Here is an 18,924-nt window from a genome sequence, read left to right as displayed (position 1 = left end):
AACCTTTCTTTTGATTGAGTAGTTTTGAAAGACTCTATTTGTAGAATCTGAATTTGGACATTTGGTGCGCTTTGTGGCCCATGGTGGAAAAGGAAATATCTTCACATAAAAACTAGACAGAAGCATTCTGACAAACTTCTTCATGATTGCGCATTCATGTCACAGAGTTGAACCTTTCTTTTGAATGAGCAGCTTTGAAACACTCTTTTTGTAGAATCTGCATGTGGACATTTGGAGCTCTTTGAGGCCTATGGTGGAAAAGTAAATACCTTAATATAAAAACTATACAGAAATATTCTGACAAACTTCTTTGTTATGTGTACATTCTTCACACAGATTAGAACCTTTCTTTTCATTGAGCAGTTTTGAAAAACTCTTTTTGTGGAATCTGCAAGTGTACATTTGAAGCGCTTTGAGGCCTATGGTTTAAAAGGAAATATGTGCACATAAAAACTAGACAGAATCATTCATAGAAAATCCTTTGTGTTGTGGGCATTCATCTCACCGGACTGAACATTTCTTCTGATTGAGCAGGTTTAAACACTCTTTTTGTAGAATCTGCAAGTGGACATTGGGAGCCCTTTGAGTCCTATGGTGGAATAGGAAACATCTTCATTTAAGAACTAGACAGAAGCATTCTGAGAAACATCTTTGTGATGTGTGCATTCATCTCACAGAGTTAAACATTTCTTTTGATTGAGCTGTCTTGAAACTCTATTTTGTAGAATCTGCAAGTGGACATTTGGAGCGCTTTGAGGCTTATGGTAGAAAAGGAAATATCTTCACATAAAATCTAGACAAAAGCAATCTGAGAAACTTCTTTGTGATGTGTGCATTCATCTCACAGAGTTAAAATTTCTTATGATTGAGCAGTTTTGAAACTCTCTTTTTGTAGAATCTGGAAGTGGACATTTGGAGCCCTTTTAGGCCTATGGTGGAAAAAGAAATATCTTCCCATAAAAACTAGACAGAAGAATTCTGAGAAACTTCTTGGTGATGTGTGCGTTCATCTCACAGAGTTGAAACTTTCTTTTGATTGAGCAGTTTGGAAACTCTCTTTTTGTAGAATCTGCAAGTGGACATTTGGAGCGCTATGCGGCCTATGGTAGAAAAGGAAATATCTTCACATAAAACCTACACAGAAGCAATCTGAGAAACTTCTTTGTGATGTGTGCTTTCATCTCACAGAGTTAAACCTTTCTTTTGATTGAGGGGTTTTGAAACTCTCTTTTTGTAGAATCTGCAAGTGGACAATTGGAGCACTTCGAGGCCTTCGGTGGAAAAGAAAATATCTCCACATAAAAATAGACAGAAGATTTCTGAGAAACTTCTTTGTGATGTGTGCATTCATTTCACAGATTTGAACATTTCTGTTGATTGAGTAGTTTGGAAACTCTCTTTTTTAGAATCTGCAAGTGGACATTTGGAGCGCTTTGCGGCCTATGGTAGAAAAGGAATTATCTTCACATAATATCTAGACAGAAGCAATCTGAGAAACTTCTTTGTGATATGTGCATTCATCTCACAGAGTTAAGCCATTCTTTTGATTGAGCAGTTTTGAACCTCTCTTTTTGTAGACTCTGCAAGTGGACATTTCGAGCACTTTGAGGCTTATGGTGAAAAAGGAAATATCTTCCCATAAAAAGTAGACAGAAGAATTCTGAAAAACTTTGTGATGGGCACGTTCATCTCACAGAGTTGAAACTTTCTTTTGATTGAGCAGTTTGGAAACCCTCTTTTTATAGACTCTGCAAGTGGACATTTGGAGCACGTTGCGGCCTATGGTAGACTAGGAAATATGTTCTCATAAAATCTAGACAGAAGTAATCTGAGAAACAACTTTGTGATGTGTGCATTCATCTCACAGAGATAAACATTTCTTTAGATTGAGCAGTTTTGAAACTGTCTTTTTGTAGAATCTGCAAGTGGACATTTGGAGCGCTTTGAGGCCTATGGTGGAAAAGGAAATATCTTCACATAAAAACTACATAGAAGCATTCTGAGAAGATTTTGTGATGTGCGCATTAATCACCCAGAGTTGAATCTTTCTTTTGAAGGACCAGTTTTGAAATACTCTGTTTGTAGAATCTTCAAGTGGACATTTCGAGTGCCTTGAGGCCTATGGTTTAAAAGGAAATATCTTCACATAAAAACAAGACAGAAGAATTCTGAGAAAGTTCTTTGTGATATGTGCGTTCATCTCGCAGAATTGAGCCTTTCTTTTGATTGAGCAGTGTTGAAACCCTCTTTTTGTAGAATCTGCAAATGGTCATTTGCAGCACTTTGAAGCCTACGGTGGAAAAGGAATTTATCTTCACATAAAAACTAGAGAGAAGAATTCTGACAAACTTCTTTCTGATGTGTGCGTTCATCTCACAGAGTTGAAACTTTCTTTTGATTGAGCTGTTTGGAAACACTCTTTTTGTAGAGTCTGCAAGTGGACATTTGGAGCACTTTGTGGCCTATGATAGAAAAATAAATATCTTCACATAAAATTCAGAGAGAGCCAATCTGAGAAACTACTTTGTGATGTGTGCATTCATTTCACAAGTGAAAACTTTAGTTGGGTTGAGCAGTTTTGAAACTCTCTTTTTGTAGAATCTGCAAGTGGACATTTGGAGCGCTGTTAGGCCTCTGGTGGAAAAGGTAATATCTTCACATAAATACTAGACAGAAGAATTCTGAGAAACTTCTTTGTGATGTGTGCATTAATCTCACTGAGTTGAACCTTCATTTTGATTGAGCATTTTGGAAGCACTCCTTTTGCAGAATCTGCAAGTGCAGATTTGGAGCGCTTTGTGGCCAGTGGTAGAAAAGGAAATACCTGCAAATAAAATCTAGACAGAAGCAATATGAGAAAATAATTTGTGATGTGTGCATTCTTCTCAGAGACTTAAACATTTCTTTTGATGGAGCATTTTTTAAACTCTGTTTTTGTAGAATCTGGAAGTGTACATTTGGAGCGGTTTGAGGACAATGTGGAAAAGAAAATATCTTCACATCAAAACCAGATTGAAGAATACTGGGAAACTTCTTTGTGATGTGTGCGTTCATCTCACAGAGTGGAACCTTTCTTTTGATTGAGCTGTTTGGAAACACTCTTTTTGTAGAATCTGCAAGTGGACATTTGGAGCACTTTGTGGCCTATGGTAGAAAAGGAAATATCTTCACATAGAATTCAGACAGAAGCAATCTGAGAAACTGCTTTGTGATGTGCACATTCATTTCACAGAGTTAAACTTTTCTTTTGATTGAGCTGTCTTGAAACTCTATTTTGTAGAATCTGCAAGTGGACATTTGGAGCACTTTGTGGCCTATGGTAGAAAAGGAAATATCTTCACATAGAATTCAGACAGAAGCAATCTGAGAAACTACTTTGTGATGTGCACATTCATTTCACAGAGTTAAACTTTTCTTTTGATTGAGCTGTCTTGAAACTCTATTTTGTAGAATCTGCAAGTGGACATTTGGAGCACTTTGTGGCCTATGGTAGAAAAGGAAATATCTTCACATAGAATTCAGACAGAAGCAATCTGAGAAACTATTTTGTGATGTGCACATTCATTTCACAGAGTTAAACTTTTCTTTTGATTGAGCTGTCTTGAAACTCTATTTTGTAGAACCTGCAAGTGGACATTTGGAGCGCTTTGAGGCCTATGGTAGTAAAAGAAACATCTTCACATAAAATCTAGACAAAAGCAATCTGAGAAACTTCTTTGTGATGTGTGCTTTCACCTCACAGAGTTAAAACTTTTTTTTGATTGAGCAGTTTTGAAACTCTCTTTTTGTAGAATCTGCAAGTGAAAATTTGGAGCGCTTTTAGGCCTATGGTGGAAAAGGAAATATCTTCCCATAAAAACTAGACAGAAGAATTCTGAGAAACTTCTTTGTGATGTGTGCGTTCATCTCACAGAGTTGAAACTTCCTTTTGATTGAGCAGTTTGGAAACACTCTTTTTGTAGAATCTGCAAGGGACCATTTGGAGTACTGTGAAGCCTATGGTAGACAAGGAAATATCTTCACATAAATTCTAGACAGAAGCAATCTGAGAAACTTCTTTGTGTTGTCTGCATTCATCTCATAGAGTTAAACATTTCTTTTGATTGAGCAGTTTTGAAACTTTTTGTAGAATCTGCAAGTAGACATTCGGAGCACTTTGAGGCCTATGCTGGAAAAGGAAATATCTTCACATAAAAACTAGACAGAAGAATTCTGAGAAACTTCTTTGTGATGTGTGCACTCATATCACAGAGTTGGACCTTTCTTTTTATTGAGCAGTTTGGAAACACTGTTTTTGTAGAATCTGCAACTGGACATTTGGAGAGCTTTAAGGCCTATCTTTGAAAAGGAAATATCTTCACATAAAAACTAGACAGAAGAATTCTGAGAAATATCTTTGTGAGGTGTGCATTCATCTCACAGAGTAAAACATTTTATTGATTGAGCAGTTTTGGAACTCTCTTTTCATTGAATCTGCAAGTGGACATTTGGAGCGCTTTGCGGCCTCTGGTGGAAAAAGAAATACCTTCACATAAAAACTAGACAGAAGAATTCTGAGAAACTTCTTCGTGATGTGTGCTTTCATGTTACAGAGTTGAAGCTTTCTTTTGATTGAGCAGTTTGGAAACATTCTTTTGTAGAATGTGTAAGTGGATATTTGGAGCACTTTGCGGCCTATGATAGAAAAGGAAATATCTTCACATAAAATCTAGACAGAAGAAATCTGAGAAACTTGTTTGTGATGTGTGCATTCATCTAACAGAGTTAAAACTTTCTCTTTATTGAGCAGTTTTGAAACTCTCTTTTTTTAGAATCTGCATGTGGACATTTGGAGCGCTTTGAGGCCTATGGTGGTAAAGGAAATATCTTCACATAAAAACTAGATAGAAGCATTCTGAGAAACCTCTTTGTGATGTGTGGGTTCATATCACAGAGTTGAAACTTTCTTTTGATTGACCAGTTCAGAAACACTCCTTTTGTATAATCTGCACGTGGATATTTGGAGTGCTTTGCGTCCTATGGTAGAAAAGGAAATTTCTTCACATAAAATGTAGACAGAAGCAATCTGAGAAACGTCTTTGTGATGAGCGCATTCGTCTCACAGATTTAAACCTTTCTTTTGATTGAGCAGTTTTTAAACTACCTTTTTGTAGAATCTGCAAGTGGACATTTGGAGTGCTTTGAGGCCAATGTTGGAAAAGGATATATCTTCACATAAAAGCTACACAGAAGAATTCTGAGAAACATCTTTGTGATGGGTGCATTCACCTCAGAGTTGAACCTTCCTTTTGATTGAGCAGTTTGGAAACCCTCTTTTTGTGGAAACTGCAAGTGGATATTTGGAGGAATTTGTGGCCTATGCTAGAAAAGGAAATATCTTCATATAAAATCTAGACAGAAGCAATCTGAGAAACTTCTTTGTGATGTGTGCATGCATCTCACTGAGTTAAACCATTCTTTCAATTGAGCAGTTTTGAAACTCTCTTTTTTTAGAATCTGCAAGTAGATATTTGGAGCTGTTTCAGGACGATGGTGGAAAAGGAAGTATCGTCATATAAAAACTAGCCAGAAGATTTCTGAGAAACTTCTTTGTGATGTGTGCATTCATCCCACAGAGTTGAACTTTTTTTTTGATTAAGCAGTTTGGAAACACTCTTTTTGTAGAATCTGCATGTGGACACTTGGAGCACTTTGAAGCCTATGGTGGAAAAGGAAATATCTTCACATAAAACCTAGACAGAAGCAATCTGAGAAACTTCTTTGTGATGTGTGCATTCATCTCACAGAGTTGAACCTTCCTTTTGATTGAGCAGTTTGGAATCCCTCTTTTTGTAGAATGTGCAAGTGGACATTTGGAGCGCTTTGCGGACTATGGTAGAAAAGGAAATATCTTCACATTAAATCTAGACAGAAGCAATCTGAGAAATTTCTTTGGGATGTGTGCATTCGTCTCACAGAGTTAAACCTTCCTTTTGATAGAGCAGTATTGAAACTCTCTTTTTGTAGAATCTGCAAGTGGACATTTGGAGTGCTTTCAGGCCTATGGTGGAAAAGGAAATATCTTCACATAAAAACTAGACAGAAGAATTTGGACAAACTTCTTTGTGATGTGTGCATTCATCTCACAGAATTGAGCCTTTCTTTTGATTGAGCAGTGTTGAAACCCTCTTCTTGTAGAATCTGCAAATTGTCCTTTGGAGTGCTTTGAGGCCTATGGTGGAAAAGGAATTTATCTTCACATAAAAACTAGAGAGAATTCTGACAAACTTCTTTATGATGTATGCGTTCATCTCACAGAGTTCAAACTTTCTTTTGATTGAGCAGCTTGGAAAGAGTCTTTTTGTAGAATCTGCAAGTGGACATTTGGAGTGCTTTTTGGCCTATGGACGAAAACGAAATATCTTCATATAAAATCTAGACAGTAGCAATCTGAGAAACTTCTTTGTAATGTGTGCATTCAACTCAGAGAGTTAAAACTTCAGTTTGATTGAGCAGTTTTGAAACTCTCTTTTTGTAGAATCTGCAAGTGGACATTTGGAGCGCTTTGAGGTCTATGGTAGAAAAGGAAATATCTTCACATAAAAACTAGACAGAAGAATTCTGACAAACTTCCTTGTGATGTGTGTGTTCATCTCACTGAGTTGAATCTTTATTTTGATTGAGTAGTTTGGAAACACTCTTTTTGTAGAATCTGCAAGTGGACATTTGGAGCACTTTTCGGCCTATGGTAGAAAAGGAAATACCTTCACATAAAATCTAGACAGAAGCAATCTGAGAAACTTCTTTCTGATGTATGCATTTATCTCACAGAGTTAAACCTTTCTTTTGATTGAGCAGTTTTGAGACTCTCTTTTTGTAGAATCTGCCAGTGGACATTTGGAGTGCTTTGAGGTGTACGGTGGAAAAGGAAATATCTTCACATAAAAACTAGACAGAAGAATTCTGACAGACTTCTTTGTGATGTTTGTGTTCATCTCACAGAGTAGAACCTTTCTTTTGATAGAGCAGTTTTGAAACTCTCTTTTTATAGAATGTGCAAGTGGACATTTGGAGCACTTTCAGGCCTATGGTGGAAAAGGAAATATCTTCACATAAAAAAATGACAGAAAAATTCTGAGAAACTTCTTTTTGATGAATGCGTTCATCTGAGAGAGTTGAACCTTTCCTTTGATTGAGCAGTTTGGAAACACTCTTTTTGTAGAATCTGCAAGTGGACATTTGGAGTGCTTTGAGGCCTATGGTGGAAAAGGAAATATCTTCACATAAAATCTAACAGAAGCAATCAGAGAAACTTCATTGTGATATGTGCATTAATTTCAGAGAGTTGAACTTTTCTTTTCATGGAGTAGTTTTGAAACTCTCTTTTTGTAAAATCTGCAAGTGGACTTTTGGAGCGCTTTGAAGCCTATGGTGGAAATGGAAATATCTTCATATAAAATCTAGACTGAAGAATTCTGAGAAACTTCTTTTTGAAGTGTGTTTTCATCTCATTTGAACTTTCCTTACGATTGAGCAGTCTGGAAACACTCTTTTTGCAGAATCTGCAAGTGAACATTTGGTGTGTTTTGCAGCCTATGGTTGAAAAGGAAATATCTCCATATAAAATCTAGACAGAAGTAATCTGAGAAACTCCTTTCTGATGCGTGCATTGATCTCATAGAGTTTAACCTTTCTTTTGATTCAGCAGTTTTGAAACTCTCTTTTTGTAATATCTGCAAGTGGACATGTGGTGCGCTTTGAGGCCTATGGTGGAATAGGAAATATCTTCACATAAAAAATAGATAGAAGCATTCTGTGAAACTTCTTTGTGATGTGTGCATTCATCTCCCAAGTCTGAACCTTTCTTTTGATGGACTAGTTTTGAAATACTCTTTTCGTGGAATCTGCAAGTGGACATTTCGAGCGCATTAAGGTCTATGGTGGAAAATGAAATATCTTCACATAAAAACTAGACAGAAGAATTTTGAGAAACTTCTTTGTTTTTTGTGCTTTATTCTCACAGAGTTGAATCTTTCTTTTATTTGAGCAGTTTGGAAACACTCTTTTTGAAGGGTCTGCAAGTGGACATTTGGAGTGCTTTGCGGCCTATGGTAGGAAAGGAAATATCTTCACATAAAATATAGACAGAAGCAATCTGTGAAGCTTCTTTGTGAAGTGTGCATTCGTCTCAGAGTTAAACCTTTCTTTTGATTGAGCAGTTTTGAAACTCACTTTTTGAGGAATTTGCAAGGGGACATATGGAGCATTTTGTGGCCTATGGTGGAAAAGGAAATACCTTCGCAAAAAACTAGACAGAAGAATTCTGAGAAACTATTTTGTGATGTGTGCGTTCATCTCACAGAGTTAAACTTTTTTTGATCGAGCAGTTTGGAACCACACTTTTTGAACAATCTGCAAGTGGACATTTGAAGCTCTTTGAGAACTGTGGTGGAAAAGGAAATATCTTCACATAAAAACTAGACAGAAGAATACTGTGAAATCACTTTGTGATGCGTGCGTTCATCACACAGAGTTGAAAGTTTCCTTTCATTGGGCTGTTTGGAAACACTCTTTTTGTAGAATCTACAAGTGGACAATTTTAGCGCTTTGCGGCCTATGGTAGAAAAGGAAATATCTTCACATAAAATCTAGACAGAAGCAATCTGACAAACTTCTTTGTGATGTGTGCATTCATCTCACAGAGTTAAACCTTTCTTTTTATTGAGCAGTTTTGAAACTCTCTTTTTGTAGTATCTGCAAGTGGACATTTGGAGCCCTTTTAGGCCTGTGGTAGAAAAGGAAATCTCTTCACATAAAAACTAGACAGAAGAATTTTGAAAAACTTCTTTGTGATGCGAGCTTTCATCTCCCATAGTTGAAACTTTCTTTTGATACAGCAGGTTGGAAACACTCTTTTGTAGAATCTGCAAGTGCACATTTGGAGTGCTTTGCGGCCTGTAGTAGAAAAGGAAATATCTTCACATAAAGTCTAGACAGAAGAAATCTGAGAAACTTCTTTGTGATGTGTGCATTCATCTCATGGAGTTAAACTTTTCTTTTGATTGAGCAGTCTTGAAGCTCTCTTTTTGTAGAATCCGCAAATGGATATTTGGAACTCTTTGAGGCCAACAGTGGAAAAGGAAATATCTGCACATAAAAACTAGACAGAAGAATTCTGAGAAACTTCTTTGGGACGTGTGCATTCATCTCACAGATTTGAACCTATCTTTTGATTGAACAGTTCGGAGACACTCTTTCTGTAGAATATGCAAGTGGACATTTGGAGAACTTTGTGGCGTATGGTAGAAAAGGAAATATCTTCACATAAAATCTAGACAGAAGCCATCTGAGAAACTTCTTTGTGATGTGTGCATTCATCTCATAGAGTTAAACCTTTCTTTTGATTGAGCAGTTTGGAAACACTCTTTTTGTAGAATCTCAAAGTGGACATTTGGAGCACTTAGAGGCCTATGGTGGAAAAGGAAATATCTTCACATAAAAACTAGATGGAAGAATTCTGATAATCTTCTTTGTGATGTGTGTGTTCATCTCACAAAGCTGAAATTTTCTTTTGATTGAGCAGTTTGGAAACACTCTTTTTGTAGAATCTGCAAGTGGACATTTGCAACGCTTTGCGGCCTGTGGTTGAAACAGAAATATCTTCACATAAAATCTAGAAAGAAACAATCTGAGAAACTTCTTTGTGATGTGTGCATTCATCTCACAGAGTTAAACCTTTCTTTGGATTGAGCGGTTTTGAAACTCTCTTTTTGTAGAATCTGCAAGTGGACATTTGGAGAGCTTTGAGGCCTATGGTGGAAAAGGTAATATCTTCACATAAAAACTAGACAGAAGAATTGTGACAAACTTCTTGGGAATGTGTGCGTTCATCTCACAGACTTGAACCTTTGTTTTGATTGAGCAGTTTGGAAACACTCTTTTTTGTAGAATCTGCAAATGGACATTTGAAGCACTTTGCGACCTATGGTAGAAAAAGTAATACCTTCACATAAAATCTAGAGAGAAGAAATCGGAGAAACTTCTTAGTGATGGGTGCATTCATCTCACAGAGTTTAAACTTTCTTTTGATTCAGCAGTTTTGAAACTCTCTTTTTGTAGAATCTGCAAGTGGACATTTGGAACGCTTGAGGCCTATGGTGGAAAAGGAAATATCTTCACATAAAAACTAGAAAGAAGAATTCTGACAAACTTCTTTGTGATGTGTGCGTTCTTCTCACAGAGTGTAACCGTTCTTTCGATTGAGCAGTTTGGTACCACTCTTTCTTGTAGAGTCTGCAAGTGGACATTTGGAGCGCTTTGCAGTCTATGGTAGAAAAGTAAATATCTTCACATATAATCTAGACAGAAGCAATATGAGAAACTTGTTTGTGATATATGCATTCATCTCACAGAGATAACCCTTTCTTTTGATTGAGCAGTTTTGAAACTCTCTTTTTGTAGAATCTGCAAGTGAACATTTAGAGCGTCTTGAGGCCTATGGTGGAACAGGAAATATCTTCACGTAAAAATTAGACAGAAGAATTCTGAGAAACTTCTTTGTGATGAGTGTGTTCATCTCACAGAGTTGAACGTTTCTTTTGATTGAGTAGTTTGGAAACACTCTTTTTGTAGAATCTGCAAGTGGACATTTGGAACTCTTTGCGGCCAATGGTAGAAAAGGAAATATCTTCACATAAAATCTAGACAGAAGCAATCTGAGAAACTTTTGTGATGCGTGCATTAATCTCACAGAGTTAAACCTTTCTTTTGATTGAGCAGATTGGAAACTCTCTTTTTGTAGAATCTGCAAGTGGACATTTGGCAGCGCTTCGAGGCCTGTGGTGGAGAAGGAAATATCTTCACATAAAAAGTAGATAGAAGCATTCTGAGAAAGTTCTCTGTGATGTCTGCACTCATCTCCTGGAGTTCCAACTTTCTTTAGGAGAACCAGTTTTCAAATACTCTTTTTGGAGAATCTGCAAGGGGACATTTCAAGCACCTTGAGGCTTAAGTTGGAAAAGGAAATATCTTCACACAAAAAAAGAAGAATTCTGAGAATCTTTTTTATGATGTGTACGTTCATCTAACAGAGTTGAACCTTTCTTTTGATTGTGTAGTTTGGAAACACCCTTTTTGTAGAATCAGCAAGTGGACATTTGGAGCGCTTTGTGGCCTATGATAGAAAAGGAAATATCTTCACATAAAATCTAGAAGGAAGCAATCTGAGAAACTCCTTTGTGATGTGTTCATTCATCTCACAGAGTTGAAACTTTCTTTTGATTGAGCAGTTTTGAAACACTCTCTTCGTGGAATCTGCAAGTGGATATTTGGAGCCCTTTGAGGCCTATTGTGGAAAAGGAAATTTCTTCACATAAAAACTACTCAGAAGCATTCTGAGAAACACCATTGTCATGTTTGCATTCAACTCACAGAGTTGAAACTACATTTTGATTGAGCAGTTTTGAATCTCTCTTTTTGCAGAAACTACAAGTGTATGTTTGGAAAGCTTTGAGGCCTATTGTGGAAAAGGAAATATCTTCACATAAAAACTACACAGAAGCATTCTGAGAAACTACTTTATGAGGTGTGCATTCAACTCACAGAGTTGAAATTATCTTTTCTTTGAGGAGTTTTCAATCTCACTTTTTGTAGAATCTGCAAGTGGATATTTGACGACCTTTGTGCCCTATGGTGGAAAAGGAAATATCTTGAAATAAAAACTACACAGAAGCATTCAGAGAAACTTCTTCGTGATATGTGCATTCAACTCACAGAGTTGAACCTATCTTTTGATTGAGCAGTTTTGAATCTCTCTGTTTGCACAATCTGAAGGTGGATATTTTGAGCCCTTTGAGGCCTACAGTGGAAAAGCAAATATCTTCACATAAAAACTATGCAGAAGCATTGTGAGAAACTACTTTGTGAGGTGTGCATTCAACTCACAGAGTTGAACTTATCTTCTCATTGAGCAGTTTTGAATTTATCTTTTGGTAGAATCTCCAAGTGGATATTTGGAGCCCTTTGCGCCCTATGGTGGAAAAGGAAATATCTTCAAATAAAAACTACACAGAATCACTCAGAGAAACTGCTTTGTGATGTGTGCATTCATCTCACAGGGTTGAACCTAGCTTATGATTGAGCAGTTTTGAAACACTCTTTTTGTAGGATCTTCAAGTGGATATTTGGAGCGCTTTGAGGCCTACAGTGGAAAACCAAATATCTTCAAATAAGAACTACACAGAAGCATTCTGAGAAACTTCTTTGTGATGTGTGCATTCATCTCACAGAGTTGAAACTTTCTTTTGATTGAGCAGTTTTGAAACACTCTTTCTGTTGAATCTGCAAGTGGATATTTGGAGCCCTCTGCAGCCTATGGTGGAAAAGGAAATATCTTCAAATAAAAACTACAAAGAAGCATTCCCAGAAACTTCTTAATGATGTATGCGTTCAACTCACAGAGTTGAACCTATCTTTTGATTGAACAGTTTTGAATCTCTCTTTTTGTAGAATCTGCAAGTGGATATTTGGAGCGCTGTGAGGCCTATTGTGGAAAATCAAATATGTTCACATAAAAACTACAGAGAAGCATTCTGAGAAACTTCTTTGTGCTGTGTGCATTCAACTCACAGAGTTCAACCTGTCTTTCAATTAGCACTTTTGAATCTCTCTTTTTGCAGAATCTGCAAGTGGATGTTGGGAGAGCTTTGAGGCCTATGGTGGAAAAGGAAATAGCTTCACATAAAAACTACACAGAAGCATTCTGAGAAACTTCTTTGTGATGTGTGCATTCATCTCACAGAGTTGAACCTTTCTTTTGATTGAGCAGTTTTGAAACACTCTTTTTGTAGAATCTGCAAGTGGATATTTGGAGAACTTTGAGGCCTATTGTGGAAAAGGAAATATCTTCACATAAAATCTACTCAGAAGCACTCTGAGAAACTTCTTTCTGATATGGGCATTCAACTCACAGAGTTGAACCTTTCTTTTGATTGAGCAGTTTTGAAACACTCTTTTTGTAGAATCTGCAAGTGGATATTTGGAGCCCTTTGCACCCTATGGTTGAAAAGGAAATATCTTCAATAAAAACTACACAGAAGAATTCTAAGAAACTTCTTCGTGATGTGTGCATTCAACTGACTGAGTTGAACTTATCTTCTCATTGAGTAGTTTTCAATCTCTGTTTTGTAGAATCTGGAAGTGGATGTTTGGAGCCCTTTCACCCTATTGTGGAAAAGGAAATATCTGCAAATAAAACTACACAGAATCATTCAGAGAAACTTCTTTGTGATGTACACATTCAACTCACAGAGTTGATCCTATCTTTTGATTGAGCAGTTTTGAATCCCTCTTTTTGCAGAATCTGCAGGTGGATATCTGGAGCCTTTTGAGGCTTACTGTGGAAAATCAAATATGTTCACATAAAAACTACACAGAAAGATTCTGAGAAGCTTCTTTGCGATGTGTGCATTCAAGTCACAGAGTTGAACCTATCTTTTGATTGAGCAGTTTTGAATCTCTCTTTTTGCAGAACCTGTATGTGGATGTTTGGAGAGCTTGGAGGCCTATTGTGGAAAAGGAAATATCTTCACATAAAAACTACAGAGAAGCATTCTGAGAAACTTCTTTGTGAGGTATGCATTCAACTCACAGAGTTGATCTTATCTTCTCATTGAGCAGTTTTGAATCTCTCCTTTTGTAGAATCTGCAAGTGGATATTTGGAGCCCTTTGAGCCCTGTGGTGCAAAAGGAAATATCTTGAAATAAAAACTACAAAGAAGCATTCAGACAAACTTCTTTGTGATGTATGCATTCAACTCACAGAGTTGAACGTATCTTTTGATTGAGCAGTTTTGAATCTCTCTTTTTGCAAAATCTGCAGGTGGATATTTGGAGCCCTTTGAGGCCTACTGTGGAAAAGCAAATATCTTCACATAAAAATTACACAGAAGTATTCTGAGAAACTACTTCGTGACGTGTGCATTCATCTCACAGGGTTGAATCTATCTCATGATTGAGCAGTTTTGAAACACTCTTTTTGTAGAATATGGAAGTGGATATTTGGAGCCCATTGAGGCCTATAGTGGAAAGGAAATATCTTCACATAAAAACAACACAGAAGGATTCTGAGAAACTTCTTTGTGATGTGTGCATTCATCTCACTGAGTTGAATCTTTCTTTTCATTGCGCAGTTTTGAAACACCATTTTTGTACAATCTGCAAGTGGATATTTGGAGAACTTTGCCGCCTATTGTGGAAAAGGAAACATCTTCACATAAAAACTACTCAGAAGCATTCTGAGAAACTTCTTTGTGATGTGGGCATTCAACTCACAGAGTTGAACCTATCTTTTGATTGAGCAGTTTAGAGTCTCTCTTTTTCTATAATCTGCAAGTGGATATTTGGAGCCCTTTGCACCCTATGGTGGAAAAGAAAATATCTTCAATAAAAACTACACAGAAGCATTCTAAGAAACTTCTTCATGATGTGTACAGTCAACTCATTGAGTTGAACTTATCTTCTCAATGAGCAGTTTTGAATCTCTGGTTTTGTAGATTCTGCAAGTAGATATTTAGAGCCCTTTGTGCCCTATCGTGGAAAAGGAATTATCTTCAAATAGAACTACACAGAACCATTCAGAGAAACTTCTTTCTGATGTATGCATTCCACTCACAAAGTTGAACCTATCTTTTGATTGAGCAGTTTTGAATACCTCTTTTTGCTGAATCTGCAAGTGGATATTTGGAGCATTTTGAGGCCTGCTGTGGAAAATCAAATATGTTCACATAAAAACTACACAGAATCACTCAGAGAAACTGCTTTGTGATGTGTGCATTCAACTCACAGAGTTGAACCTATCTTTTGATTGAGCAGTTTTGAATCTCTCTTTTTGTAGAATCTGCAAGTGGATATTAGGAGCCCTTTGCGTCCTATGGTGGAAAAGGAAATATCTTCAAATAAAAACTACATAGAAGCATTCAGAGAAACTGCTTTGTGATGCGTGCATTCAACTCACAGAGGTGAACTTATGTTTTGTTTGAGCAGTTTTGAAACTCTCTTTATGCAGAATCTGCAGGTGGATATTTGGAGACCTTCGAGGCCTACTGTGGAAAAGGAAATAACTTCAAATAAAAACTATACAGAAGCATTCTCAGAAACTTCTTCATGATGTATGCATTCAACTCACAGAGTTGAACCTATCTTTTGATTGAACAGTTTTGAATCTCTCTTTTTGCACAATCTGCAAGTGGATATTTGGAGCGTTGTGAGGCCTACTGTGGAAAATCAAATATGTTCACATAAAAACTAAACAGAAGCATTCTGAGAAACTTCTTTGTGATGTGTGCATTCAACTCACAGAGTTGAACCTATCTTTTGATTGAGCAGTTTTGAATCTCTCTTTTTGCAGAATCTGTTAGTGGATGTTTGGAGAGCTTTGAGGACTATTGTGGAAAAGGAAATATCTTCACATAAAAACTACAGAGAAGTATTCTGAGAAACTTCTTTGTGAGGTGTGCATTCAACTCACAGAGTTGATCTTATCTTCTCATTGAGCAGTTTTGAATCTCTTTTTTTGTAGAATCTGCAAGTGGATATTTGGAGCCCTTTGAGCCCTATGGTGCAAAAGGAAATATCTTGAAATAAAAACTACAAAGAAGCATTCAGACAAACTTATTTGCGATGTGTGCATTCAACTCACAGAGTTGAAAATATCTTTTGATTCAGCAGTTTTGAATCTCTCTTTTTGCAGAATCTGCAGGTGGATATTTGGAGCCCTTTGAGGACTACTGTGGAAAAGCAAATATCCTCACATAAAAATTACACAGAAGCATTCTGTGAAACTACTTCATGACGTGTGAATTCATCTCACAGGGATGAATTTATCTCATGATTGAGCAGTTTTGAAACACTCTTTTTGTAGAATATGGAAGTGGATATTTGGAGCCCACTGAGGCCCACAGTGGTAAGGAAATATCTTCACATAAAAACAACACAGAAGGATTCTGAGAAACTTCTTTGTGATGTGTGCATTCATCTCACAGGGTTGAAACTTTCTTTTCATTGAGCAGTTTTGAAACACCGTTTTTGTAGAATCTTCAAGTGGATATTTGGAGAACTTTGCTGCTTATTGTGGAAAAGGAAACATCTTCACATAAAAACTACTCAGAAGCATTCTGAGAAACTTCTTTGTGATGTGGGCATTCAACTCACAGAGTTGAACCTATCTGTTGATTGAGCAGTTTAGAGTTTCTCTTTTTCTAGCATCTGCAAGAGGATATTTGGAGCCCAATGCGCCCTATGGTGGAAAAGGAAATATCTTCAATAAAAACTGCACAGAAGCATTCTAAGAAACTTCTTCGTGATGTGTACATTCAAATCACTGAGTCGAACTTATCTTCTCAATGAGCAGTTTTGAATCTCTGGTTTTGTAGAATCTACAAGTGGATATTTGGAGCCATTTGTGCCCTATGGTGGAAAAGGAATTATCTTTAAATAAAACTACACAGAACCATTCAGAGAAACTTCTTTGTGATGTATGCATTCAACTCACAAAGATGAACCTATCTTTTGATTGGGCAGTTTAGAATCTCTCTTTTGAAGAAACTGCAAGTGGATATTTGGAGCCCTTTGCGCTCTGTGTTGGAAAAGGAAATATCTTTAAATAAAAACAACACAGAAGTAGTCAGATAAACTTCTTTGTGCTGTCTGCATTAAACTCAGAGAGTTGAAACTTCCTTTTGGTAGAGCAGTTTTGAAACACTCTTTTTGTAGAATCTGCAGGTGGATATTTGGAGTGCTTTGAGACCTATGGTAGAAAAGGAAATATGTTCATACAGAAACTAGATAGAAGCATTCACAGAAACTACTTTGTGATGTGTGCATTCAACTCAAAGAGTTGAACATTCCTTTAGTCAGAGCAGTTTTGCAGCACTCTTTTTGTAGAATCTGCAAGTGGATACTTGGACTGCTCTGAGGCCTATGTTGGAAAAGGAAATATCATCACACAAAAACTAGACAGAAGCATTCTCAGAAACTTCTTTGTGATTTGTGCATTCAACTCATGGAGTTCACCATTGCTCTTGACAGAACAGTTTTGAAACACACTTTTTGTAGAATCTGCAAGTGGATATTTGGAGTGCTTTGAGGTCTTCGGTGGAAACAGGAATACCTTCACATAAACACTAGACAGAAGCATTCTCAGAAACTTCTTTGTGATGTGTGCATTCAATTCACAGAGTTGAACCTTCTTTTCGATAGAGCAGTTTTGAGACACTGTTTTTGTATAATCTGCAAGTGGACATTTGGATCGCTCTTAGGCCTACGGTGGAAATGGAAATATTTTTAGATAAAAACCAGAAAGAAGAATTCTCAGAAACTTCTTTGTGATGTGTGCATTCAACTCAGAGAGTTGAACCTTTCTTTTGATAGAGCAGGTTTGAAATACTTTTTTGTAGAATCTGCAAGTGGACATTTGCAGCACTTTGAGGCCAATGGTGGAAAAGGAAATAACTTCAAATAAAAACTAGACAGAAGCATTCTCAGAAACTTCTTTGTGATGTTTGCATTCAACCCACAGATTTGAACATACCTTATCATAGAGCAGTTTTGAAACACTCTTTTAGTAGACTTCGTAAGGGGATATTTGGACCGCTCTGAGGCCTTCGCTGGAAACGGGAATACCTTCACATAAAGACTAGACAGAAGCATTCTCTGAAACCTCTTAGTGATGTGTGCATTCAACTCACAGAGTTGAATTTTTCTTTTGATAGAGCAGGTTTGAAACACTCTTTTTGTAGAATCTGCAAGTGGATATTTGGATAGCTTTGAGGATTTCGTTGGAAACGGGAATATCTTCAATTAAAAACTATACAGAAGCATTCTCAGAAACTTCTTTGTGATGTGTGCATTCAAGTCACAGAGTTGAATCTTTCTTTTGATAGAGCAGATTGGAACCACTTTTGTTGTAGTATTTGCAAGTGGATGTTTGGACAGCTTTGAGGCCTTCGTTGGAAACGGGTATCCCTTCACATAAAAACTACACAGAAGCATTCTCAGAAACTTCCTTGTGGTGCTTGCAATCAACTCACTGAGTGGAACATTCCTTTTCATAGAGTAGTTTTGAAACACTTTTTTTGTAGAATCTGTAAGTGGAAACTTGAAGCGCTTTGAGGCCTATGGTGAAAAACAAAATATCTTCCCATAAAAACTAGACAGAAGAACTCTCAGAAACTTCTTTGTGATGTGTGTACTCAATTAACAGAGTTGAACTTTTCTTTTGATAGAGCTGTTTTGAAACACACTTTTTGTAAAATCTGCAAGTGCATATTTGGATATCTTTGAGGATTTCATTCGAAACGGGATTATCTTCACATAAAAACCAGACAGAAGCATTCTCAGAAACCACTTTGTGATGTTTGCATTCAACTCTCAGAGTTGAACATTCCTTTTCATACAGAAGTTCTGAAACACTCTTTTTTTTGTATCTGGTAGTGGACATTTGGAGCGCTTTGAGGCCTATGGTAAAAAACGAAATATCCTCACATAAAAACGAGACAGAAGCATTCTCAGAAACTTCTTTGTCATGTGTGTACTCAACTCACAGAGTTTAACCTTTCTTTTGATACAGCACGTTTGAAACACTCCTTTTTAGAATCTGCAAGTGGATATTTAGATAGCTTTGAGGCTTTCGTTGTAAAGGGGGAATATCTTCATGTAAAAACTAGACAGAAGCATTCTCAGAAACTTCTTTGTTATCTTTGCATTCCACTCACAGAGTTGAACATTCCCTTTCATAGAGCAGTTTTGAAACTCTCTTTTTGTGAAATCTGCAAGTGGACATTTGGAGCGATTTGAGACCTATGGTGAAAAACGAAATATCTTCACCTAAAAAGTGGACGGAAGGATTCTCAGAAACTACTTTGTGACGTGTTTACTCAACTTACAGAG

The 18,924-nt window shown here is 36.9% G+C and overlaps 1 annotated feature.

Annotated features, from left to right (window-relative positions):
* Positions 522 to 1,346: an enhancer, noted in NCBI's record as "OCT4-NANOG hESC enhancer chr9:66990095-66990919 (GRCh37/hg19 assembly coordinates)". NCBI's record gives its function as "activates a minimal SCP1, AML or CMV promoter by ChIP-STARR-seq in primed H9 embryonic stem cells {active_cell/tissue: H9 hESC(primed)}" and the evidence as "EXISTENCE:reporter gene assay evidence [ECO:0000049][PMID:30033119]".

This window comes from Homo sapiens, chromosome 9 (assembly GCF_000001405.40).
Source record: "Homo sapiens chromosome 9, GRCh38.p14 Primary Assembly".
Taxonomy (NCBI): Eukaryota; Metazoa; Chordata; class Mammalia; order Primates; family Hominidae; genus Homo; species Homo sapiens.
The sequence above is the reverse complement of the archived record's forward strand: the minus strand, read 5'-3'. Positions and strand labels throughout refer to the sequence as shown.